The following is a 26,161-nucleotide window of genomic DNA, read 5'->3' as shown; positions in this document are numbered from 1 at the left end:
GCCAATGGACATCTGCTGACTATCTGCATATCACTTAGGCAGCCTGAGCTTGCAATATCCGTAACTGAATCAGCCAGTTACTTCCATCTCAACCTGCTCTGTCTTGTTCTATTCTTTATCTATTACATACATCTATTATTTTTTCTTTATTTATTAAATACATCCAAGTCTCCTAAACTAGAAACATTTCCCTTTCATCCCTCACATTTAATTATTAATAAAAATCTACTTTAGACTAAAGTTTATTTATTTTTATTTTTATTTTTGTGTCTTGAGCCAGAGTCTGCTCGGTCGCCCAGGGTGGAGTACAGTGATGCGATCTCAGCTCACTGCAACCTCCACCTCCTGGGTTCAAGCAATTCTCCTGCCTCAGCTTCCCAAGTAGCTGGGACTACAGGTGTGTGCCACCATGCTAGGCTAAGGCTAATTTTTGTATTTTTGGTTGAGACAGGGTTTCACCATGTTGGCCAGGCTGGTCTCGAACTCCTGACCTCAAGTGATCCACCTGCCTTGGCCTCCCAAAGTGCTGGGATTACAGGCATGAGCCACTGTGCCTGGCCCTAGACTAAAGTTAAGGCTCTTAAGCTCTAATGAACATCCTTTAGGACTACTGCAGCAGTATCTTAAAAGTCTGCCTGTTTGAGTTCCTCCCCATTGTAATTAATCTGCTACTCTCTTCCTTCGAAAACAGATACAAAATACAGTTCCAATGGTTCTCTGTTGGTTTCTTATTGCCCCCAAAATAAATCTAGATTATTTTAGTTTGAGATACTAGGATATTTATTTACTATCTATCCCCATCTCTTCTTTCCAAACACATCTTCCAGCTTTCCTCCTAATTATCCAGTTCCTTGTCCCATAAATCCTCTGTTATTGCCACACTCCCCTTATTACTGTACAAAGGTCTTTCTAAATTCCTTGTCTTCTATACAGGTCCTTCCCTCAGCAGTAGCTGTCTTTACCCTTCCTTCCTCACTTGTAATATACCTACTCAAACTTAACAACTTGGCTCTCATGTTATAGTGTCCAGGAAGTTCTGGGATGCTACCAGCCAAACATATTCCTCCATCCTCAATGTTCCCCAAGTATTTTATTCTTACTCAAAATGCAGTTTCTCATGCTGATTTTTGAATGCATCTGTTTGGACCAAGAGTTAATCCAAAGAAGGAGAAGACTTTGCTATTCACCTTTATATCTCTGGATCCCAGAATAGGATTTGGTTTGGAATCTGTATGGATAATTGATTTATTCCCTCTCAGTCCAAAATTTACTCTTTTAACTGCTCTGTAAAAGTGGATCGGGTTGACTGGCACTGAAACTTTGTTGGCAGAAGGTATTGGGGAGATACTTCAAGGACAAAAGGGTTCAGCTTCCTGGTTCCAGTGTTCTTGGTAGGCTCTTGAGGTTTCTCTTGTGTCTGGCTACTACAGTACATGGCAGCCAGCAGCTTCCCCAGCGGACTTCCCCTCAGGTGGTTTTAAAGCTCTCCCTTTACAGAGCTTTCCTGCACCCTACAGTGCAGATTCCTGGCACAAGTTCTATTGGCTTGGCATCACAGAGACTTCACTGACATCCAGTAAGTAATGACTATATCCTTCCTAACAGGGGGTGATTTTCACCCCACAGGAGACATTTGGCAATGCTTGCTCAGGGCATGCTTTTGAATGTCACACTGGAGAGGTGAGGGATACTACTATTTAGTGGGTAGAGGTCAGGATGCTGCCAAACATCCTACTTTGTACATGACAGCCCCGCCCCCGCAACACAAAACAACTATCTGACCCCAAATGTCAATAGTGGTGTGCTTCAGGGACCCTGCTCTATAACAAGGTGTAACTCTCAGCCTCAGCAGGGTGGAATGGGGAAGGCTGGGGGGTGGCAAGAAGGGAGGTGTCTTCACTGGGTGCTCTCTCTCACAGGAGTAGTGTTAGTGAATACTCCTTATAGCTGCTATTTCTATATGTTCTAAAGCTTTCTTTGCTTCTTACTTGGTAATCCCTTATTATTCCAGTCCCCTATTATAGTTACTATTTTTTTTTATCATAACACTTTGCTGCTCAAATTACTATATGCTGATTAGATTCAGACTAATATGGCATCATCCATTCATTCATTCGTTCATTTCAATAGATAGTAGGTGCTTATTATATTTCCTGATACTGTGCTAATTGTGGATACAGTAGTGAACCAAATAAACATAGTCCTGTCCTCCTTAAGCTTGTAGTTTGTAAGTTAATACAGATAAACGAGTGTTGTAAATGTATGGTATGGCAAGTAAAAGGACGGTACAATGAAAATCAACAGGCGAACCAAAGCTGTTATGGGATGTGAGGGGAGTGAGCTAGTAAGGGCCCACATGTTTTTAATGAAATAAATTTATTAGCTGAATTGATAAAATTGTCATTTAAATTCTAATTCCAAATATTTAGCCAGGATGATGGAGATGTGACTCGTGAGGTTCTTATCCATTTGAAGAGTCATTTGGAACTCAAATATTTTACCACTGATCGATTGATCTATATATTGAGAGATATCTATAAAGATCCATATATCTATATATATTTAGAAGTAGTGTAATTAGATTAAGATTTAATTCAATGAAAATATTTTAGTTCAATTCATAAGCCATCAATTCCTCTTTTTCAGGTGGACTATCATACGATTTATTCATTTTCATGACTCCAAGATTCTTGAAGGAAACTCTTTTTAGACATCCCTATATATCATAGCACTGAGCATAAAACCCACTTGATACTCTCAGTATGTGCTTATTGAATTAATAAATGTATGAGTTTTCTATCTTAGTCATTTACAGAATAATGTGGGGTAGGTGAAAAATCACTGAAACAGATGTTATGAGGCCTGTGCTGTAATCCCACCCTTAACATTAAAGAGCTTGGACAATCCACACTCCTTCTGGGACTCGCCTTCCTCATTTTTAAACTAAAGGATTCGGAAAAGAGGTTTTTCAAACCCTCATTATTTTCTAAAATCCTGAGATATAACAAATGCATTATAGTGTAAGAATGTGAATACCCGATCTGTCTTAATTCTTATTAAACAGTGTGATTTGAGTATACCTGACACTTCTGGGACTCAAATTCTTCAACTGTGAAATAAGTTTATTTATAAAAGGGGTTAGAAAACTATGGCCCTTGGGTGAAATGGCATTGAGTTTTCATGCCACAGACTGTTTGGCCCACAAAGCTGAAAATATTTATTGTTTGGCCTTTTCTAAAAAACGCTTGGTAAGCTCTGGTTTGTATGTTCCCTTTTACTTCTCCTTCTTAAATCTCTTCTATGACTTTCTGACTTATCCACTTACCATATACATTTTTTAACAATAATTTCTTAAGTGTGTTAAATTTTGATTGATGGCCCACCAGCATATTAAAAATTGAGACTGGACTTCTTTTACTTTGAGCAGAGTCAAAAGGTTACTAAAGAGAACCTTTGTAAGTTTGTGGCTTAACAGATTATTGCTGGAAACTATCCATATAACAGAGATGGAAATAAGCATATAATATTTAAATATTTGCCTTTAAACCCCCAAATACTAGATGTCTGGATGGTTCACATATGGCAGGTAACCAGTAAGCTCTGGTTGGGTGGATGAACCAACAGTCTGGGCATCCCAGTCAGTCATGCTGTATATCATTGCTATAAGGACTTGAAATAGGATGAATGTCTATTACCATTTCAAAGCCAGGCAAACATGAGGAGTTGTCTCAACTGTCTCTTTCCATGACTTTAAACCACAAATGTTGTCTCAGGGTATACTCCTTTTCGAATGAGAATGTACTTATTTTGTAGTTAGATCATGCTTGTTCAGGGCATGCTATAATTCAACCCACATCATTAAATTGAATGAATATAATGTTACTCTTTCTTCTAAACCTCTAGATTTTATCTTTCCTGCTTAATACACATTTTTTGAGAAGCACACCAGTCAATAACAGCTCTGTAAAAAAAGACAAGTTCAAATAATTGCAGCTGACACCATTCTAAAAAGGCACATTTGTTTTCCTGTGACCATCCTGCCAATATCCTCACATCACCCTAGATTTTATTCTGGAAAATGAACCAAAATAAAATCCACTTAGGCTGTAGGAAAGGCTGAGGCTGTGAAATATTTTAAGTGTATCATCCTATTAGTTAAGCAATGTGACAACGGGCGATGTGACATGTGGAGTTCATACAGTCCTATCATGTGGACACAGAGTGACAAGCTATATAAGAAGAAGAATACAGGTGACCTCGGTGGGCAAATCACCATTGGGTGCATGTTCCTTCCTGAGACTGACCTAGTTGGTGATCTTAGAGTGGTGCCTGCAAGGGTTTGCTGTCCCCAAATCTCCCCTCTACTTTCCCTCTTCTCTCCCCCAATGGCACCTGACATTCTGAAAGATTCTTCTGGATTTTCACGATTTGTCATTCCTCAGGGGTATGTTATCATAATGCAAATAACTATTGCAGAGAACCATTTTAATCTCTAATTAGTTAGCTATTACCAAATTGATGCAAAATCTGAAGCAAACTTCTAGAGAATGCAAGAGTGGAATTAAGAGGTGCAGGAATCAACTATAAAAAGAGGTGTGTGCATGGGGAGTGGAGTGGGATGGGGATACAATGCGAAAGAGTTACAGAAGATGTGTACAGAAGAGTGAAGTGAAGAAATTGAGGGGATGGAGTAAAGCATGCCTGCCAGTGTTTGGAAGACAAACAGACAGATGGCATCAGGAGGAGCAGCACTGGAAGACACCATGGGCAGTGCTGATCAGACGCTTCAAATCAGTTCTTTTTATGTATTTGCTTTATTTTAAAAAGCTGAATACAGGATGGAGAAAAACTGGAGCAGGACAACTACGGATAGCCCTCCACTTTCTAATATTGTTTAAGTCAGGGGTCAAGAAATTATGGCCAACAGGCCAAATTCTGTCAGCTGCTTATTTTCGGTATGGTCATGAGATAAGAATGATTTTTACATGTTTTAATGATGAGAACTAAATCAAATGCTGAATAATACTTCTTGACATAAGAAAATGATATAAATTCAAATGTCAATGTCCATAAATAAAGCTTTATTGAAACACATCTGTCTTCATTCATTTACATATCATCTTTAGTTACTTTTGCACTGCAAAGACAGAGTTGAGTAGCTGCAACAAAGGTAATTTGTCCCATGAGCCTAAAATATTTACTATTTGGCTCTTTACAGAAAAAGTTTGCCAACCCCTTGTCCGAGTCATGTAGTTCTATAATAGAGTCATGCCTGGAGACCCCACTCAGAAGATAAAACTCCCACACTTAATGCAACCTACCAGGCAGTTTAGTGATCACCTATTCTACCTTGAGTATGCACCTTGGTGAGCTTTACCCCCCAATCCCAAGTTGCTTATCAGAAACACCAATAGCACCTCCCTGAGAAGAGTTACATAAATACTATTTTCTCCACATATTTCTATCCCATTTGGCACTCTGGGTTCCAATGGCCATGCAGGTTCCTGCATGGCTGGTTCACTGTGTGATCTTCCTATCCCAGAGCATGGATTCAGTATTTCTGTTTCTTTGCCCCTGGAACTTGGAGTTGAATATCTGAATAAACGCAGTAACAGGAAATGGAGGAAGACACAAACTCACCGTAAGCAATGCGGCTGGGAGGAGATTGAGATAGAGACCAGCATCAGAAGCTGTATCCTTGGGGACTGATGCTGTTGTGGCTAAAGAGTTACAAACGAGTTCTAAACAGAGGCTACATGTGGAAGGCACTGAGGTTTTCCTACTAGTACTGGTAAAGGAACAAAAAACCATTTTAATACAGACACCAATTTGTCTCTAATTGAGCTGGTTCTATACATATATTCAGTTTTCAAACCTATTTTGAATTTGTGTCTTGTTCATCTCAGTATCCCAGTACCTGACACAGGAATCAGACATTCCTTGTTATCTTTCTCTATAAATAAATATAAAAATTGCCTAGTCTAGCTCTAATGCCAAATCTATTAAAACATACCCAGTTTTAATACTTAGGCTCCAGTCTGGGTGTCAAGGAATAGTCTTTAGTTTGCCAACTCCAGTGACGTTTTTCTCTGTGTCTAATCCTCTTCAGTAATATATTTGCTACTTTATTATTTATGGACCTTGGGATCAACCTTGATCTTATGAGTTGCTCCCCAATTATGGTGAGAGTCTTGGTACATTTTTAAATATATGGCATGAATATATCAGGTGACTATAGTTTGGGGAGGTCAAAAACTTGAAACATGGTAACCCAGACTTCCCTGATATCTAGAGATATCTCAGTTTCAGAGATTGCTACTTGCAATGCCCTACAATCTCATGCTTGACATTTCCTCCTAATTTCATAATTTTTATGCTCTATCACACTGCATTTACTCTGGGCTAGTTCTTGGTCTCTACTTCCTAGACTGTCCCAATAACAAAACTGGCCCCATGGTATGAGAAAACATCACAGAGTGTCACTGATGGTAGGGACATCATCAGCCATGTGTGCTGTATAAATCATTCTTAGTGTCTTCTAGGGTCCCACAAGGGCCTCAAGAATCACCTGGAGTGATTCTGAGGGAAAGAATGAAGACCACTGGATCCTTTAGGAGTCTTACTCCCATGACAAACAGAAAAGTTCCTCTGTTTTCTTTCTAATTGATTTTATTTAAACAATGGGCCTGGTAAAGCAAAAGCATGAAAACAATTGATAATAGGACATTATATTTTAGCTTGACATTATCAGAGGTGAAAGGAAAGATAATTAATGGCCAGTAGGGCCCAGGAACTGACCAACAAAAATGGACAATAGTCCCGGTTTTTGCCAGATGTCACTTCCTTACTTGCTGGATTAAAGAAGGATCTAGAATGTCCTAGGAGTAGGGGGCAATCAGACAACTGGGGCAGAAGAGGAGTGGGAGAGACATGCAGGGATCTCAGACGAGTGCTATTTACCATCCAGCATGAAAATGTTTCCATTTTCATAACCAGTATGGCTGTATCTCAGAGGCAACACAGTGAATCAGGGATAGAGTTAGGACCCTGATAATTTAAATCTTAATTTCCTGGGGAAAAATATACAACTCTTTAAGGTTTACTAATAATTATAAGTTGCTGTCTTTGAACAATTGTCAAAATGATCCTCAATGTGTCAAAAAATCAATTATCTTAATAGAACTTTTAGTTTAAACAGCTTCCCATAACGGTGAATAAGCAGACATTGCATAACAGATTACAGAATACAAAAGTATACAGTCAGCCTTCCATATTCATGCATTCTGTATCTGTGGATTCAACTAACTGTAGATCAAAAAGATTTAGCTGAAAAAGACATTGGTTACACCTTTACTGAATATGCATAGAATTTTTTTCTCGTAATTTCCTAAACAATATAGTATAACAAGTTTTTACATAGCATTTAGATTTTATTAGGTATTGTAAGTAACCTAGATATATTTTAAAGTACAGGGAAGACATGCATAGGTTATATGCAAATATTATGCCATTTTATATTGAGGGACTTCAGCATCTGTGGATTTTGGTATTCAAAGGGGGTCCTTGAACCAATCCCCCGTGGATACTAAAGAATGACTGTACTTAGTTTTATATTTATTTCTTTTCACAGATTCCAAAATAAGAGGTACCAAAGGTACTTAATTGTTTTTTATATATTTAAGAAATTTATTAATGGATGGTTCTGTTAGACTAATATTCTTTTTATACAATATTCATAAATTTTGACATCACTGCAGGTACTTATTAAGATAATAAGTAGACTACAAAAAACCAATATTTAGAGAATGCCTTTGAGGACACCATGTATCTGTTTATCATCTTCTGGTTTGTCAATGACATGCATGATTAGTTACAATAATGTTCTTTTGCTCTCCCTCTGGAATGATAAAGCATAATCACTGGCTTACGGAACATGGTACCTCGCTTGTAAATTTGTAAAGGAAGCTACTTTTGTTGACAGTGCTAATGTCTGCCATCTGTTTGCATGGGATGAAGCCCTGGTGCTCTTCTAATTGGCCATAAATTAGATATCAGCAGCAGGCTTTTGACAGGATCCTTCAGTTACAGTTTCATTTTTTAAAAAATACAGCTGTGAATTCAACATTTGGTCAGAAACCCAATTTCTCTGCTAAGAGTATACAAATGCACTTTTTGAATTCTTAGACTCAAGCTGATTTTTCTGTATTTGTGCTTAAGGTAGACCTCTCTCAAGGTTTCTTCTCCGTATATAACCCTGAAGATAAACCAATGCTGAGTAGAGAGAAACACAGCTAAATCCAAGGGAATCCTATGCCTTCTGTAAGAAGAGGAAGGGCATATTTATTTAGTGCTTACTTCATGTATTGTGCTGTGCATGGACATTTACCTATGTTAAATCATTTGATTTTCAAATCAATTTTATAATTTTGATAATGTTATCCAATTTTTCAGACAGGAAAACTGAGACTCAGAATTTAAGTAATTTACCCATATTCTTGTAAAATGGTGTAGTCAAGATTCAAGTATTGAGCTTTGACCACATCCATTCACTTGTCAGTGTACACTGTATATGCCTAGGTTTGGATAAGGAGAGAAAATTAGGATTAGGGAAAAGCCTTAGTCTCATTCCTCCCCTCACTAGATTTCCTTGCTTCATGCTTTAAAAGAGGCAAGATTAACTCCATCTAAGTTCCCACAACGATCCTTATCTACATCCTGGCATTTCTCTACAAATTTTCTACCTTGCCTCTTTTTCACTTTTCAGAAAATCAAAAATACATATATATGTGCTCTCCAAGAACCTTTCCTCATTTGCCCACTATTTTCTCCCCTGGGGTCCCATTTATCAAATATCCCCTTTAGTATTTCATTTGCTCCAACTTCCTGGATACTTGTATACTGTAAGCTCAGTGTTCTCACTTCCTTTTTACCTAGTCACACTTTGTAATCTGGATTCCATTCTTAACATTTTAATAAAACTGTTTTCTCCCAGGTTACTAAGCCTATTGCCCTTTTCTCTATCTGCATGCCTCTCAGCTTGTAACACTGTGATTATCTCTTTTCTCATGAAATATCCTCTTGCTTTCTGAAGTCTCCTACACCGCTCTGCTTTCTAACATCTCATTATTCTTCACTGGTTTTACTTTCCCTAATGCTTAAATGAAAGGATTTCCCCAAATCTAGCCTTGGCTCTTTAATCTTCTTCTCGATTCTTTCATGCAATTCTGTCCTGTCTCATAGCTTCAGCTGCTAACCACATGTAGGCAATTCTAAAGTTAATTTTAAGTTAATTCTAACAAGAGTTTCTGTCCCACATTTCCTGTCTCCTACAGGCCATCCATTCTTGAGTGTTCGATATTGTATGTTCAATGCATTACATTCTTAGTAGAATGTCATCGTACCTACCAAACTGATTTTTCTACTTTCCTTTTACATCTTTTCTATCCCAACTACATCCCTAATTTCTCCCTTGCTCTTCACATTCAGTAAGACGTGAAACCTTCTGGTTTTACCTCTTCATTTCTTATGGGTTCCTCCTACCCATGGTCTCATAATCACCAACTGAATTTAGACTCCTAACCAAATATTTTGTCTCTAACCTCTCCCTCTAATTCGTTTTACACTGAATTCTCAGATTAGTCTATTAAATCCATTGTTATAGTGATAACTTTTTGCTGCATAAAATGGTCTGAACTGCCCTTATCCCAACATTCAATTTTCTCAGTGAACCAGTGCCAGCATGCTTGTGAACTTGTTACAGCACCTCCACCAACTACCTTTACACAGTCTCACTTTAGCCAGTTTAAATGGCTGATAGCTTTCCTATGAGTAATTCTTACACTAGTCATCATATTTATATTGCTTTTCCTATACTTCCACATCCACTTAACACTTTTTAACACCTCCCCGACTCTTCTCAAAAGTACTCACTCTCTTTTCTGAATTCCCTTAAAATTTTATTCTGAACTCATTTTTTTTGCCTTGTATCATGGTTATTTTTGTATATGCCACATCTCTATTAGACGCTAACTCTTAAAACCAGCATCTGTGCTGCTCCTTTGAATCTTCTTCCAGGACAATGCTTTGCACATGGGAGATTCTCAGTAAAATGTGAGTTGAATGGAAGAGCAAATTGGTAATTATTGTTTTTGGGAACCAGACAAAATATAACAATTTCAGAAATATCCATGGATATTGCTACCATTCTGCAACTGTGTCTCTGCTCTGGTTCTAGTGATCCAGCATAGAAGGGCCTCTCAAAGTGAGGTTTGTAAATCAGGTAGAATTTCTCTCCATCCGGAGTCCTCTGAGCTCGGCATCCAGCTCCATCATTCTAGGCTAATCATACCTGGCTCCTCAGGTTCATTCTATGTGGTTACTCACTGCCTATTCCAGTTTGAATGGCTCCACTAAAATGGATGTTTTACAGTTATTCTTGGGTCATGTACTTGGCTATTCGATGAATTTATCCACATACATTACAAGGAAGAAAAGCCTGTTCCACTGCTTCCAGAAAGTACATATGCATTTTAACCATGCTCTTGGAGAATCAATAATCTGACATTTGCAGCTTAACTTATAAAGCATCCAGGTAATGAAAAGAGCAAGCCAGAACTGAGAGAAGAAACAGGGATAGACATTATCAGACAAATTTTTAATGGCCTTAAATATATGCCTATGTCTAGAACTGATTATTTCTTCAAAAGTTTCTTCCCTAAATGCTTCTATTATGGAAGTCTGGAGATAGGAGAATAGAGGGCATAACTAAAACTACTAAAAAAATAACCCATTTCTTAACAAAAATGGAATAATAATTCTAAAAATTTACAAAAATAACTAGCATTGGTTGAGTACCTCCTGAGTAAAAGACACTTGGACAAATGCTTTACTCAAATGTTCTCATTAATCCTCAAAATATCTGTATGATATTTCATTACCTCAGTTTACAAATGAGCTGAGCCGAAGCTCACAGTGGTTAAGTACCTTGTTAAAGATCACAAAGCTAGAATGGCAGAGCCAGCCACTTTTAAGAATAGGGAATGAGAAACAAATACAGAATTCATTTAAAAATGAAAAGATATAAAACAAGTATTAATAGCTCCATAAAATGATGTCTAATTCCAAGAACTCATGTGTGTTGCTGATATGAGTGTGTAATTCACATAATAAAACAATGTACTTACTCTCTGTCAATCACAAGGCAGGTTACAGCTTCTGCAGCAATTACGTTTGCTGTTCTCACATCTTCCCTATGTGAAAAATAGAGACATTCAAATAAAATAACCTTTAATATCAAAGCACAGTGTCCATTGTGATTAATTCAGGAAAAAATTTACATTATATAAACTCTTCTGATTTATCCACCTCCAGGCTTAAGCTTTGTTTATGTTTCAAAATTTTTTTTGAGGAATCATCTTACCCTTGTCATTAATCATACAAATCCTACAGTTACAATCCAGTAGTTGCAATTTTCAAATTTGAAATTTCATTCACCCAAGTAGAACAAATTTGATATCATTCCCTTTGGGGAAATTAATAAAATAGTTGGATAATGATCAAGATAGTAACAAACATAAATATGCAAAAGTTTTTAAAGAATTTGAAGCTATACTTCTAGAAACTGAGTATCTGATCCATTTGTATATGAATTTATCATTATATCCTTGAGAACAATTGATCTGTTTAAATTATTTCCTTACTTTAAAGACCCTGTTTTTATGTAGCTAATGTTTTGGCAATTTATGGCACATAGTCATTCATCTATATCAGAAGTTATGGTTCTTCAAGAGCATTTGACAAATCTTAAGTCACACTGATAGAAACATGTAAATATTGTCTCTTTAGAAGCATTTAATTTGTTACTGCATTCGTATCTATCAATCTCTTAAACCTTTGAAAATCTATCCTGGTATCTTATGTTTGATCCAGTAGTTAAAGGTGGATTTGATAAATTAACATTCACAATTCATTTTCAGCTAGTTAAAAATTAATAGTATCAGTATCATGGTAACATGGTTAACGGGTACAAAAAAATAGAAAGAATGACTAAGACTTAACTATTTGATAGTACAATATGATGACGATAGTCAATAATAACACAATTGTATATTTTTAAATAACTTAATGTAATTGAATTATTTGTAACTCAAAGGATAAATACTTGAGGGGGTGGATACCCCGTTCTCCACAGTGTGCTTATTTTACATTGCATGCCTGTATCAAAACATCTCATGTACTCCCTACTATGTACACCTAAGTACACATAAAAATGTACACTTACTATGTACCCATGAGAATTTTTAAAAATAATTTAAAAATTACAAAATAAGCTATACTTGAAAATTTACTTTTTCCAAAAACAATAAAATTTCTAAGTTAATTAATAATTAATATGTTTGAAATATATTAAAGAGATAGGTACATATGAAATGATATAGCATTAATAATACAGTCTATAAACCAAAAAACATCACATCTCTAATAACAGGCTCTTAAAGTTTTGAGAATAAAGATGTTCCCAGTGACTTTTTATACTTTTGAAACACATTACATTCTGAAATATATTTCCGAACTCTATTTTTCACTGATCTCTGTGTCTTTCACTGTTGCTATACCATGCTGTTTAGATTACAATCGCTTTAAATTAACTATTTGTATTTAATATTTGGCAAAGCATGTTCTCCCTTACTAAAATCCTTTTTTCAGAAATAGCTTAATGATATTCTTAAGCATTTATTATTTTTGAGAAATTCCTTGATGATATTCTTAAGCATTTATTATTTCATATAGACTTTAAAATAATCTTCCACTTCTGAAACACCCACCTTGGGATTCTAGTAGAGTTGTATTATATTAATATTTATTCATTGATATCAAAGCAAGGAATTTCTGATGATATTACTTTTTCCATATAAGAACATGGCATGACTTTCTACTTGTTCAGATATAATTTCATATCTTTAAATACAATTTCATAATTTCTTTCACTTGGGTCCCGATATTTAAAAAATGTATTCCTATATGTTGCATATTATGTTTTTCTTATGAGTAACTTTCCTTTTCATTTGTTTCTCACTGGTTGCCCTGTTTTTTAAAAAAGCCATCAATTATTGTACATATTTTAATCCACCCACCATACTACATCATCTTAACTCTAAAATTTTTGTTATAGTCTCGTTAACTCCCAGCACAATCCTCCCAGTGTCTCCCTCACATTCCCTGCCTTTTGGCCAAACTGGCCTCTTTTTTTTTTTTTTTTTTTTTTTTTTTTTTGATGGAGTTTCGCTCTTGTTGCCCACGCTGGAGTGCAGTAGCACTCGGCTCACTGCAACCTCCGTCTCCCAGGTTCAAAGTAGCTAGGATTACAGGAGTCCACCACCACGCCTGGCTAATTTTTGTATTTTTAGCAGAGATGGGGTTTCACCATGTTAGCCAGGCTGGTCTCGAACTCCTGACCTCAGGGGATCCACCCGCCTCAGCCTCCCAAAGTGCTGAGATTACAAGTGTGAGCCACCGCGCCCAGCCACTGGCCTCCTTTTAATACACATCATCGCCCTCCTGCCACGAGTTCTTAACATGCTTTCCATAGGCCTAGGAAGTTCCTCTCTAACTTTTGCTTAGTTCACCCCTTCTTATCTCTTCAATCCCAGCCTACGTACCTCTTCTTCAGGGATGCCATCATGAATTGACCAGGTTGGGTTTCCTATGCATCTGTTCTCGTAGCCCTACATACCTCTCCATCCAAGCATGTATCACCATTTGTAATTTATATTAATACGTGTATTTATGTAGTCATTTGTTTAATAACTCTGTCTTCCTTCCACTAAACCCTATGAGGGCCGGGACCATAGCTGGCTTTGCTCCCCGTTTCATCCCAAATGCCTCACACATACAACATGCTTAGTGTTTAAAGCAGTTATGGCACAGACATCCATCATACTTCTGAACCCTGGGGTAGGAAGGCAGAGCTCAGGGTTTGGAGTTGCACTATTCTGGTGTTAAACCCACCTCCATTCCCTCCATTCACAAGTGAAAGCCTCAATTTCCTCATCTGTAAAATGGGAATACGAGTAGCCACTCACTATGTGGTATTAAGTGAGATAATCAAACGTAAGTTTAACATAGTGCCTGGCCCAGCTGAACTGTGTTCTGTTGTTTATTATTTCTAATTCTTTTCATCCCCAACACCTTCATGGTTGTCTCTGTGGAGGCTCTATCTGGTGTTTTATAAAACACTCCTATTCAGAAACACAGTGGGGATTTTCTTTCTGCTCCATAGATGTAAGCAATGTATTTTCAATTCGTTATCACTTTCATAGTGGGAATTTTTGGTGAAATGAACATAATGGGCAGGAAACTTCTGTAGTGCTCATTGGGTTCTTCATAAATTATGTGAATGACTTATTTCTTAGTTGTTCATGGCAGCATAAGTTACTATCAATTGCTGCCAGCCAAAAACAAATAAATGAATAACAATAATAAACAAACTACCATCACAAAATAGAAAATATAATACTAAATTTAGCTTTTCCTGAAATATATTTCCATTTGACTATTAAGAAAGTGCCCACATCCTTTAAAAATATAATAAATACAAAATAGTGCTTCATTTTGAAGATATCTTCTGTGCATATAGATTTTTAAAAATGTATTCATCACAAATCTACAATATTTCAGAATTTTGTCATATTATCTGGCCTAAATTGGATATACTTTTAAAGTTGAATGCAATTTCCATGCAACAAAAAGAAGATGCATTGGTATTTTTAAATGTAGATTGGGGAAAATATCAAAGATCAGAAGAGTGACATAGTTAACAGAAATAGAAAATTTTATTTTAAAAAGGAAAACAAGTATGGCCTAAAGCCAGGTGTAGTACCTAGTAAAGTGACATATATTAAAACTGGAAAGAAGCATCACATTGGGGGGAAAAACCAACATATTAAACAATAAATTATAATATTTGCCATTTATTGAGCATATAGTACATGTCGGGAACAACATTAAACACTTCATACAAATATCATTTGTTGCACATAACAAAGGGTGGTGCTCTGAGAATAGAGGTTAGGGAATGCACCCAAAGTCAGATATAGCTAGTGAGTTACAGTTCTGGAATTTGAACACAGATCTGGCTGTCCCTAAAGTCATGTTCTTTCCACAACAGTAGGCTGCTTATATGCTTTGCTATCAGATTTAAACTCAACATTCATTAAAATGTTGAATAACCTTTGAGCAGTAAGTATTCACTGTCCATCATTATGAAAATTATATTTACTTGTTAATAGAACCAGCACTAATAGAGTTATGGGTTTCCAATTGTAAAACTAATATGAAAGGGTCATTTTCATTTTAAAATTGTTAGAATTCCCATCCATAGCTATGTCCTAGCCTGCTATATTGCTTTGTAATAATGTTGCCTAACAATAGAGAATTATTCATCGCCAAGCTCATTCAATGGCAAACTCATGTTGCCATGACGGTGTCATTTTATTTCTATTATTAAGGTGCTTGTAGCTCTCTAAGAGGGTGTCTGTAAATTCTGTTCTTGTGCACTCAAAGCCTGCTAGAGATAGAGACAAAATACTATCTGATTTAGTATTAACATATATATTAATCCTTGACATTAGTATATGACATGTATTAATCTCTCATTTTAGGAGTGATAGTAGAAATTTCTAACTTCTAAAGAGAGAATGTCAATGATAGAAGCTGACAACACTGTGATTTACTATGTATGTTTATATCTTTTATGGGTCCAAGGACCATGGTAAAGCAAATATCATTTGAATTTAAAGATGTAATATTACATATTCATATAATACAAAGGTCTTAATAAATCTGGGTTATTAAATGTATTTTTATCAGTAGATGTTATGATACTGGTTTCACACAGAACATCTACCAAGTTAGCGGGCATTTCACGTCAGAGCGGTTTAGAAGCAGGACAAGGAAAGAGAGGAGAAAAGCATTATTTTTTAAAAACTGAACTTACTTTCATTTGTACTTTTTTACAGATCAGGGTATTTAATAATTTCTAATAGAAGAATACAAGACATTTTGGTAAAATATTGAACACAAGAGAACTTTATAACTAGGGTTATAATGTTCAATTTATTTAATTAAAAACTTTTACCAAACACACATTACCTCTGAACATTCAGCACACTAGACTTGCTTTTTTATAATAAATAAATGTATATCTAGCCACATAACAGTCCACATCCAACATGCAAATTGTCTCTAAAAATAAAATCTCACGCTTATCTAGTTCTGTGCCTCTGTATTAGTTGATTTCGGTGTGCAGTTAATAAATACTTTAAAAAGCACTACTGCAAAAGTAGCTACTGTTTGGCAGATTAACAGGTATTTTTACAAAATTGCTGCTGATTAATTAGTAATTACAATCAAAGCTATGCAGTTTAGTAGTGGCCTCTTTTTAAGCCACTTCTAACATTTTCAGATGTGTTAGAAATTCCTTTCAGTGAAACAATAGAGCATGAAAAATATCCCAAAATATTTGCAAATATAGGTTTCCGTGCACTGACTCTGATATTCTTTGAACTTCGTCACTGGAATCTTCATCATCGCTGTATCCCAAAGTGGCGTCACTGTCAGTATCTGAATAATCCATACAGGGAATTTACATCGGCTCTTCTGGTTCTAAACCAATTCTCTTGTGTCTCATGGCTATGAGAGAACTCTAGCGTTCATTGATACCTCAGGGGAACAAACACAGAATGTATGAGGCCAAAGCAGAACATAGTTGATACAAAGTAGCTGTCAGAGTAGGGGCTCTCCCTTTTCAGCTCTGGAGCAACATGACTGCTGTCCACAGAGTCCCAGCACTCTCTCAGTGCCAGCCTTCATGGAAACTCGACACTACTCCAGTTGCTTATGAGCTTACAGCAATCCCGGGGTCAGAGCTCTTTACTCTCTGTCATGTGCAGCAGTTTAATGTCCCCAGTTAAGTTTAGTTCACACAGCACAAAGCAAATTCTTTTCATCTCAAAATCAAAAGCAATCTTACTACAAGGGGTAGGATAATCAAAATTGATAGGAAATGACAAGCATCAAAGAACCACAAAAAATGAAATAAATTAATTATAAACAAGAATTGTAGAGTTGGTGGTAAATCTGACTATGCTTTTTTGAAAATTGGATCCCTTGGCAGATAAATGTGCTTTAAGGAAAAGTCATATCAGGTCAATCACTAATTCCACTTTCCACTAAGTCCTGAAGCTCTTCCACCATGATTTATGCCTCCAACACTGTAATAAAACCCACAACCTAAGTGAACAATCAGCTAATACATGCAAATAATTATATACCTTCTAATCATGCTTGCACAGAGTAATCAACCAATAAATGTTAGTGACAATCATCATGATCATGGTCATCATCACGATCATCATCACTTTAGGACCCTCTGACATGGGGAAGCATGTGACCCCTTTTTATATACTTTGTCTCTAGTAGTCCCCTTCCCTAAGTTTCTATATAATAAATTAATCTCCCAATTATTTTCTGACACCACCTTCTCAATTTGTTTTGTTGACATTTCATCCCTAGCCCATAGATGATAGGTGTTTTCCCAAAATTCTGTTTTGGGCTTTCTTTTTGCTAGCCCTGCTTTCTCTCATTGAGGAAAACTCACATAACACTATGACGTCAACTATTAGTTTTACATGAGTGACTTGCAAATCTTCATTTCTAACTTTTACCTCTCTCCTGCTACATACTTCTATCTGGAAGTCCCATTGCAACCTGCGATTCAAACCTAACTCATTTTCTCCTAACCTCAAAACCACTGTTTTCCTTGGGTTCCCTATCATGGTAAATGGCATCAGCATTATTGCACTCACCTAGGCTCAAAAGATTGGATTCATTTTTTAACTCTTCCCCATCTCTCTTGTGTATATTTGGTCATATTGGTTCTATCTCTGTCTATCTCTCATATTCATCCTTCCTTCACATTCCCACAGGTATGGATCTACTGTGGGCCACCACTATCTCTGCCCTGCACCACTGATCTGGCCTCCTAAGTGATCCCCTCGCCTCTACTCTCTCCCCCTTCTAATCCTTATCTCACTCTGCCATACATTTTCAAATGTAAATCTAGTCATGTCAACTCTTTGCACAAGAACTTTTAAAGAAAACAAGAAAAATGTCAATGTTTCAATGTTTTCATGTATAGTTAGAGGTCCTCCAACTGTCTGATCTATCACCTTTCCAGGCACTATACTGACGACCCTCTGCTGCACTGGTGACAGATAACTGTTTCCTCAAAATATGACCACTGTAAATTCTGTCCATGCCTGTGCACATGCAGCTGACTCTTCTAAGAACCTTCTATTTCAGTTCATCCATAAAACTTCCATTATCCTTCAGTAGCATTTTTAAAGGATAAGAACAATTTTTACACATAAGAAATATTTCTACAGAGCTGTGTTTGGCGGCACACACTTGTAATCCCAACTACATGAAAGGCTGAGGCAGGAAGATCACTTGAGCCCAAGAGTCTGAGACCAGCCTGGGCAATGTAGCAACACCCCAACTCTACAAAGAAAGAAAGAAAAAGAAGTATTTTTGCATATTAATTACAAAAAAAGGGGGAAAATAAAAAGTACTGTAACACCATCTACCAGGAGATAACTAAGATTAACATCTTGGTGAATAGCCTTACAAACCCTTTATTCTTCTTATCTCTTTTTATTTATTAAATTAGAAAATCCACCTTTATTATGAAGTACTTATATGTCCCATGAATATAATAATAATAAACCAGCAATTATTTTAACAAATATTTGCCAAAGGTTAATATATTTTGTATGCCTGACCTTGCAGTCTAGTGGAGACAGATATCAAATTAGTACACAAACATACCCAGTAGCCCTCCCCTGCCCCACCACCACCTCCCCTCACCATTATCCACAGTTTCACTCAGTTACCCTAGGCTTCAGGTACCTGCAGTCAACTTCAGTCCAAAAATATTAAATGGAAAATTCCAGAAACAAGTCATACGTTTTAAATTGCACACCATTCTAAGTAGCTTAATTAAGCCTTACTCTGTCGTGCTTCCTCACACCGTGGACTTGAATCTTACCTTTCTCCAGTGTGTCCATGCTGTATATGCTCCCCAACCATTAGCCACTTAGTAGCAATCTCAGTTACCAGATCAACTGTCACATCACTGTCCCAAAGTGCAAGAGTAGTGATGCTGGCAATTCTGATATGCCAAAGAAAAGCCTTAAAGTGCTTCTTTCATGAAAGGTGAAAGTTATTGACTTGATAAGAAAGAAAAAAAGGTCATATGGTGAGGTTGCTAAGATCTATGATGAAAACATATCTTCTATCTGTGAAATTGTGAAGAAGGAAAAATACATTTGTGTTAGTTTTGCTGTTGCATTCAAACTGCAAAAGTTATGGCCACAGTGCATGTTAAGTGCTTAGTTAAGATAGGAAAGGCATTACATTTGTGGGTGGAAGACACAAACAGAAACGTGTTCCAATTGAGGGCAATCGGGTTCCATATGATCATCTGTTTCTGGTATCCACTGGAGGTCTTGGGATATATATTCCCTGCAGATAAGTGAGGGCTACTCTAATGGAAACATTGATCAAATAGCATGCAATCAGATAACTAATAGGGAGGATCTCATTCAGCAATTAGGACAGACAACTTTTGTAAGGACATTAGAAATTAAGACCCAACGGTGGAGTTTGGGTCCTTAAGATAAACAGTCAGGAGAAATGTGTTACAGGAAGCATGCATAGTCATGCACCACACAATGACATTTTGGTCAACAAACAGACCACATATGCAACAATAGTCCCATGATTCTAATGGAGCTGAAAGACTCCTTTCATCTAGTAATATCATAGCCCTAAACAAACCTACTGTGCTGCCAATTATATGTAAGTATAGCACATATGATTATGTACCTTGCATAGTACTTGATAATGATAATAAATGACTGTGTTACTAGTTTAAGTATTTACTACATTATGCTTTTTATTGTTATTTTAGAGTGTACTCCTACTTACTAAAAAAAAGAAAAGGGCTTAATATAAAAGAGCCTCAGGCTAGTCTTTCAGGAGGTATTCCAGAAAAAGGCATTGTTATAGAAGATAACAGCTCCATGTGTGTTATTGCCCCTGAAGACCTTCCAAGGGGACAAGACGTAGAGGTGGAAGACAGTGATATTGATGATCTCAACCCTGTGTAGACCTACACTACTGTGAATGTTTGTGTCTTCATTTTTAACAAAAAAACTTCGAAAAGTAAAAAATACAATAAATTAAAAATAGAAAAAATCTTATAGAATATGTAAAGAAGAAACTATTTCTATACAGCTGTATGAATTGTTTGTATTTTAGAAATTATTAGAAAAGAAATTAAAAAGTTTATAAAGTAAAAAATTACAATAAGCTAAAGTTAATTTATTATTGAAGAAAGAAAACTATTCTTATAAATTTGGTGTAGACTAAGTGTCCAGTGTTTCTAGTGTCTACAGTGGTGTACAGTAATTTCCTAGGTCTTCACATTCACTCATCACTCACTCATTGACTCACCCACAGCAACTTATAGTCCTGCAAGATTCATTCATGGTAAGTGCCCTATTTGGGTGTACCATTTTTAATCTTTCATGGTATATTTTTGCTTTACCTTTTCTATGTTTAGATATATTTAGATACACAAATACTACTGTTACAACTGCCTGCAGTATTCAGTACAGTCACATGCTGTACAGGTTTCTAGCCTAGGAGCAATAGGCTATACCATGGAGCTTAGGTATGTAGTAGGCTATACAACCTAGGTTTGTGTGAGTAGACTCTACGATGCTAGCATAATGAAACTGCCTAAAGATGCATTTCTCAGAATATGTCCCTATCCTTAAATAACACCATTTAAATTGCACACCATTCTAAGTAGCTTAATTAAGTCTTACTCTGTCCTGCTTCCTCACACCATGGACTTAACCCCTCCCTTTGTCCAGTGTGTCCATGCTGTAGATGCTCCTCACCCATTAGCCACTTAGTAGCCATCTCAGTTATCAGATCAACTGTCACAACATATAGAACATATACAATAGCTTGAATTAGGAAAGAGCTTATTGTAACATAAGCAAAGTTGGAATTCAGAGATTGAGTAAAAGAAAAGAAGGCAGAGACCATAGAACACAGAGAAGAAAACAGGGCCACATCATTCAGTGTCTGGAGGTAGTTCTAAGGATTTATTTTTTTTTTAAGATTCACTTTCTTTTCCTTTACCATGTTAACTAAAATCTCTAAAATTAGTTAGAGAGCTTAAACTCAAGTAGAGGAAACAATTTGTAGCCATGATAGAATGAAGTTTTAAGAAAATTGAATTAGTAATTTTGGAGTACCTATACTGATGGCCTTTTCACATATTGAAGTAAATGTTATTGCTACAGCCATTTATAAGGAATTCATATATTACAGAACAATTTCTTCTAAACAGAAAATATGATCTCTGTCCTTAAAAATCCTACAATGTAAAATAAAGGAGCAATGAAAAATGCATAAAGGTCAATGTATTATTAAGAATATATATCAACTTATGATAAACATAGACTTGAGTTTAAAGCAGATCCTCTTTCTGGAGTTTACCCAAGGCAGTCTCTGGTTTCTTATCAATAATATGGACTCGTAACATGACCCAAAAGAGACTGATTCTCTAGGCAGAAAAATTATAAGTGCTGTCCAAAAACCAACTCCAAGGTTTATTCTTCCTGGTCATGTGATTGGATATTTCCATTCATTATATGAATTCACTTCCTGAGAGACTGCATATCCTCTTCGATCTATATCCACGGGAGAACACAATAACTAAATAGAGAATGAAGAAGTTGGAAGAATTCAATTTTCACATTTTTTTCATTACTTCTGCTGGGTTGATAGCATAATGAATTTTTTATCTGACATACAAACTTCACTTTCTATGGCATTCTTCAGTGACAAAGAATGTAGCCATTTATTAGACTGAGCCAAATAAAATTGTTTGTGCAGGTTAAAAACAGCCAAATATTGACAATTTTCTATGGTTCAACCTAATATACAGAATTAATGAAAGAGAAAGGGGAAGAAAAAGTAATTGCAGTGGGATATATATTGCTATTTTTTTCTGTTGTGTTTCCTTTGTGTTATCAGTGGAACTGAGAATCGACAGTAACCTGTACATCTTCCATATTCCACATTTGAATGAATTCATTCCCCTAAATGTTAAAACGTGACTGGTGGCTTTTGTTCTTTCTATCTAGTCATTACAGATAATATTCTTTACATTCCATTATAGCTGGCATAAGACATTCTGAAGAATTCTGAATCCTAGTTTCTTTCTTGTTAGGGTACAAATGGTATTTACTCTGTACTTTTGCTTCAAATATTAAACTCTTTGGCAAAGCCTTACAAATTTAAAGAATGTCACCCCAGGGAGAATTTACAGATAGAAGGATGAGCTTATTGTTCTTTGTTATTATTTTATTAGTAGATTCCTCTTATATCTATTCTTCTTCTCTGAGCCATATTTTATAAAATAATATGAATTAACATAAATCTGGTGGTTTTCAGACATTGATACATGTAATTTTGTAAGGTAATAGGTGAAAGATAAGTTTGAATTTGAGTAGAAGATATAAATAGAATAATTATTCGATAGGTGTGTTATGGTTTGAACGTATCCCCCAGAATTTATGTCTTGGAAACTTAATCACTAATGCAACAGTGTTGAGAAGAGGGACCATTAAGAGGTAATTAGGTCAATTAGGGCTTTGCCCTCATGAATGGATTAATGTCATTATGTCAGGAGTGAGTATGCTATTGAAAGTGTGAGTTTGTAATAAAAGTGCGTTTGGCTCCCTCTTGCACTCTCTTGCACGTGTGCACACGCTTTCTTGCCCTTCTATGTTTTGCCTTCCACCATGGAATGATGCATCAAGAAGACCCTCACCAGATGTGAGCCCCTCAACCTTGGACATCCCAGTGTCTCAAAGTATAACAAGTTAATCTCTGTTCTTTACAGTTTCCCCAACTTCGGGTATTCTGTTATAGCTGCACAAAATAGCTTAAAATAGGAAATTGGTACCAAGGAGTTGGGCTATTGCTAAAACAAATATCTGAAAACGTGGAAGTAGCTTTGGAATGGAATAATGACTAAAAGCTGAAAGAATTTCAAGCAGCAGCCCAGGAAAAAAATCGAGACTGCTGTGAACAGAGTGTTAAGGGAAATTCTGGTGAGGGCTCAGAAGACAGGAGCTGTAGGGAGAAACTAAATCTTCTTAGAGATTACTTAATTGGTCATGATTAAAATGTTGGTAGAAATATGGTCACTAAAGGCAATTCTGATGAAGTTTCAGAGAGAAATGACGAATAAGGTATTGGAAACGGGAGTAGAGGTCAGCTTTATTATAAAGTGGCAAAGAACCTGGCTGAATTATGTCCACGCCCTAGGGCTTTATTAAAGATGAAATTTAAGAGTGATGAACTAAAATATCTGGCAGAAGAAATAGCTAAGCAGCAAAGGATTCCAGATGCTACATGGCCTCTTTTAGCTGCTTACAGTAAAATTAGAGAGAAGAGAAATGATTTTAAGATGGAATTAATAATTAAAACAGAAGCAGAATAGAAAGATTTGGAAAACTCTCAGACTGGCCATGTAAACAATAATAAAGCATGCTTGGGAGAGAATACTAACCGTGTGGTCAAGCGACTGTTTGCTAAAAATAGTAATATGGATGGAAGGAAGATAGATCCTATTCATCAAGAATATGGGACAAAGATCATCTAGGCATTTCAGATATGTTCAGGACTGCCCCTCCAATCACAGGCCCAGAGCAGGACCTTGAAGGCAAGGTTTCCAGAGAGATGCTCTAAAGGCCTCATGATTTGTTGTCCTACACCACCTCCAGGGCAGGACACCTCTGTTTCTTCATCCCAATGCAGCACTCCTGGGCCACCCCAGGAGTAAATATGGCTTAAGTGGGCCTAGGTGCAGCTTGGGCTGCTTGGTCTGCCACTTTGGAGGGCAAAAGCAGTGGGCCTTGGCAGTGTCCACATATAACTAACTCTGAAAGTGCACATAGTTTGCAAGTTATGGGGCCACGGTAGCCTCCACCAAGATTTCACAAGATGTCGTGGACAGCTTGGGGCCCAGGCAGAAACTTGTCACAGAGGCAGAATCACCACAGAGAGCCACTGCTAGGGCAATGCCTAGTGGAGCCATAGGAGTGGGGCTGCATCTGTGACGCCATAACCGTAGAGCCGCCAGAGTGCAACGTAAGCCTTGGAAAGTTTCAGGCACAGACTGACAGGGCGGACTAAAGCCAGCAAAGACACAGGGGCGGGGCTGCCTGAGGTCTGGGGAGCCCAACTCCTGTCCCAGTGTGCACAGAAGATGGAACGTGGAGTCAAAGAAGATTGTTCTGAAGATTTAATGTTGTTTGCCCCACTGGGTTTTGGGCTTACTTGGGATCAGTTACCCCTTTCTTCTTGCCTATTTTTCCCTTTTGGAATGAAAATATCTATCTTATGCCTGCCCCACCATTGTATTTTGGAGATAGATAACCTGTCTTGATTTCATAGGCTCACAGCTGGAGAGAATTTGTCTCAAAATGAATCATGCCTTGAGTCTCATCCATATCTGATTCAGATGAGACTTTGGGATTCGGACTTTTGAGTTGACGCTGAACTAGTTAAAACTTTGGGGGCTATTGGGATGGAATGGATGTATGTTGAATGTGAGAAGGATGTAAATTTGGAGAGGCATGCACAGAATTTGATGGTTTGAATGTATCCCCCAAAGTTCATGTGTTGGCAGCTTAATCTCCAGTGCAACAGTATTGAGTGGTGGGATCTTTAAGAGGTGATTTGGTCATGAGAGTTCTGCCCTCATGAATGAATTAATGTCCTTACTGAGGGAGTGAGTTTGCTATTGCTGGAGTGAGTTTGTTATAAAAGCAAGTTCAGTGTGCTCTCTCTCTGTCTTTGTCTCTCTCCCTCTTTCTCTCTCTCTCTGTCTCTGTCTCCCTCTCTCTGTCTCTCTGCCTCTGTCTCTCTCTCTCTGTCTCTCTCTCTCTGTCTCACTTTCCCTCTCTGTCTCTCTCTGTCTCTGTCTGTCTATCTCTGTCTCTCTGTCTCGCTCTTTCCCTCTCTTTCTCTGTCTCTCTCTCATGCCTGTGCTCTCTTCCCTTTCCACCTTCTGCCTTCTGCCATTGGATAACACAGCAAAAAGGCTCTCAAAAGATATGGGGCCACAACCTTAGGCTTTTCAACTTCCAACTGTAAAAAATAAATTCCTGTTCTTTATAAATACCTGGTCTGTGGTATTCACTTATAGCAGCACAAAACAGATCAAGACAGGACAAGACAGGTTGTGTCATGGGTTATGAGTACTTTAGAGAGTAAAGTAATGCATTAGTCTTTCCTTTATTTTTCTTGGTACTCTTCATTCACAGGGCTGAAAAATATTTATTCACTTTTTTTCCTATTTTGAAAGTAGAGTAAGAGAAGGCATACTGGAATGACTGGATTGATAAACTAGTAAACCTCAACTGATACAAATTTGAAAAATGTTAAGTTGCATGGTCACATATTTCAAAGGATTTTTACCTAAAATACCTCAAAACTGGACTGTGTTCTCTCATCAGAATTCTAGACAACATGTCAGGAGAGAGTGTCTCCTTTTTATTATTCTATTGCCAACTTGGTATATGACCTTGAGAAAATGATTCATTCTCCATTTCATTTTTCACATGTGAAATGTTGATCAAAATCATGGCACTGTTCTACTCTGTGGTTTGTTAGGATTTTATGCATGTCGATACTTTTTAAAAGTTCTAATTATCATGGTCTTCAATGCTCTTGAGATGATTCATCTTGAATCCAAGGATACTTCTTTAGATAGAATAGTAATTATAAGCCTGTAATTGTGATCTACTGTCTGAAAATATAAGTAGTGTATTATGGAATATGTAGATTTTCATAATAATACTTTATATAGGTGATTAAAATGTATTTTCACATAGAAATCAAGCACGATCACTTTAAATAATAGATTCTCACAATAAAAAGTCAAGAAAATGTAATAAATGTGTATAAAACCATATATCATAAATGAAAATTAAAATTGAGATTTTAAGTA

At 36.7% G+C, this 26,161-nt stretch overlaps 1 protein-coding gene across 5 annotated transcripts in view; it reads right to left on the bottom strand.

The window, feature by feature from the left end:
- Positions 1 to 26,161, bottom strand: part of PRKG1 (protein kinase cGMP-dependent 1) — a 1,307,463-nt gene that overhangs the window by 153,262 nt on the left and 1,128,040 nt on the right. For all 5 annotated transcript variants that reach the window (NM_001098512.3, XM_017016413.2, NM_006258.4 and 2 more), the window contains one exon: positions 11,184 to 11,249. In NM_001098512.3, coding sequence (NP_001091982.1) covers positions 11,184 to 11,249 — 66 coding nt within the window. The remainder of the gene's footprint in view (positions 1 to 11,183; positions 11,250 to 26,161) is intronic.

Source organism: Homo sapiens, chromosome 10, assembly GCF_000001405.40.
Source record: "Homo sapiens chromosome 10, GRCh38.p14 Primary Assembly".
In the NCBI taxonomy this organism is placed as follows: domain Eukaryota; kingdom Metazoa; phylum Chordata; class Mammalia; order Primates; family Hominidae; genus Homo; species Homo sapiens.
The sequence above is the reverse complement of the archived record's forward strand: the minus strand, read 5'-3'. Positions and strand labels throughout refer to the sequence as shown.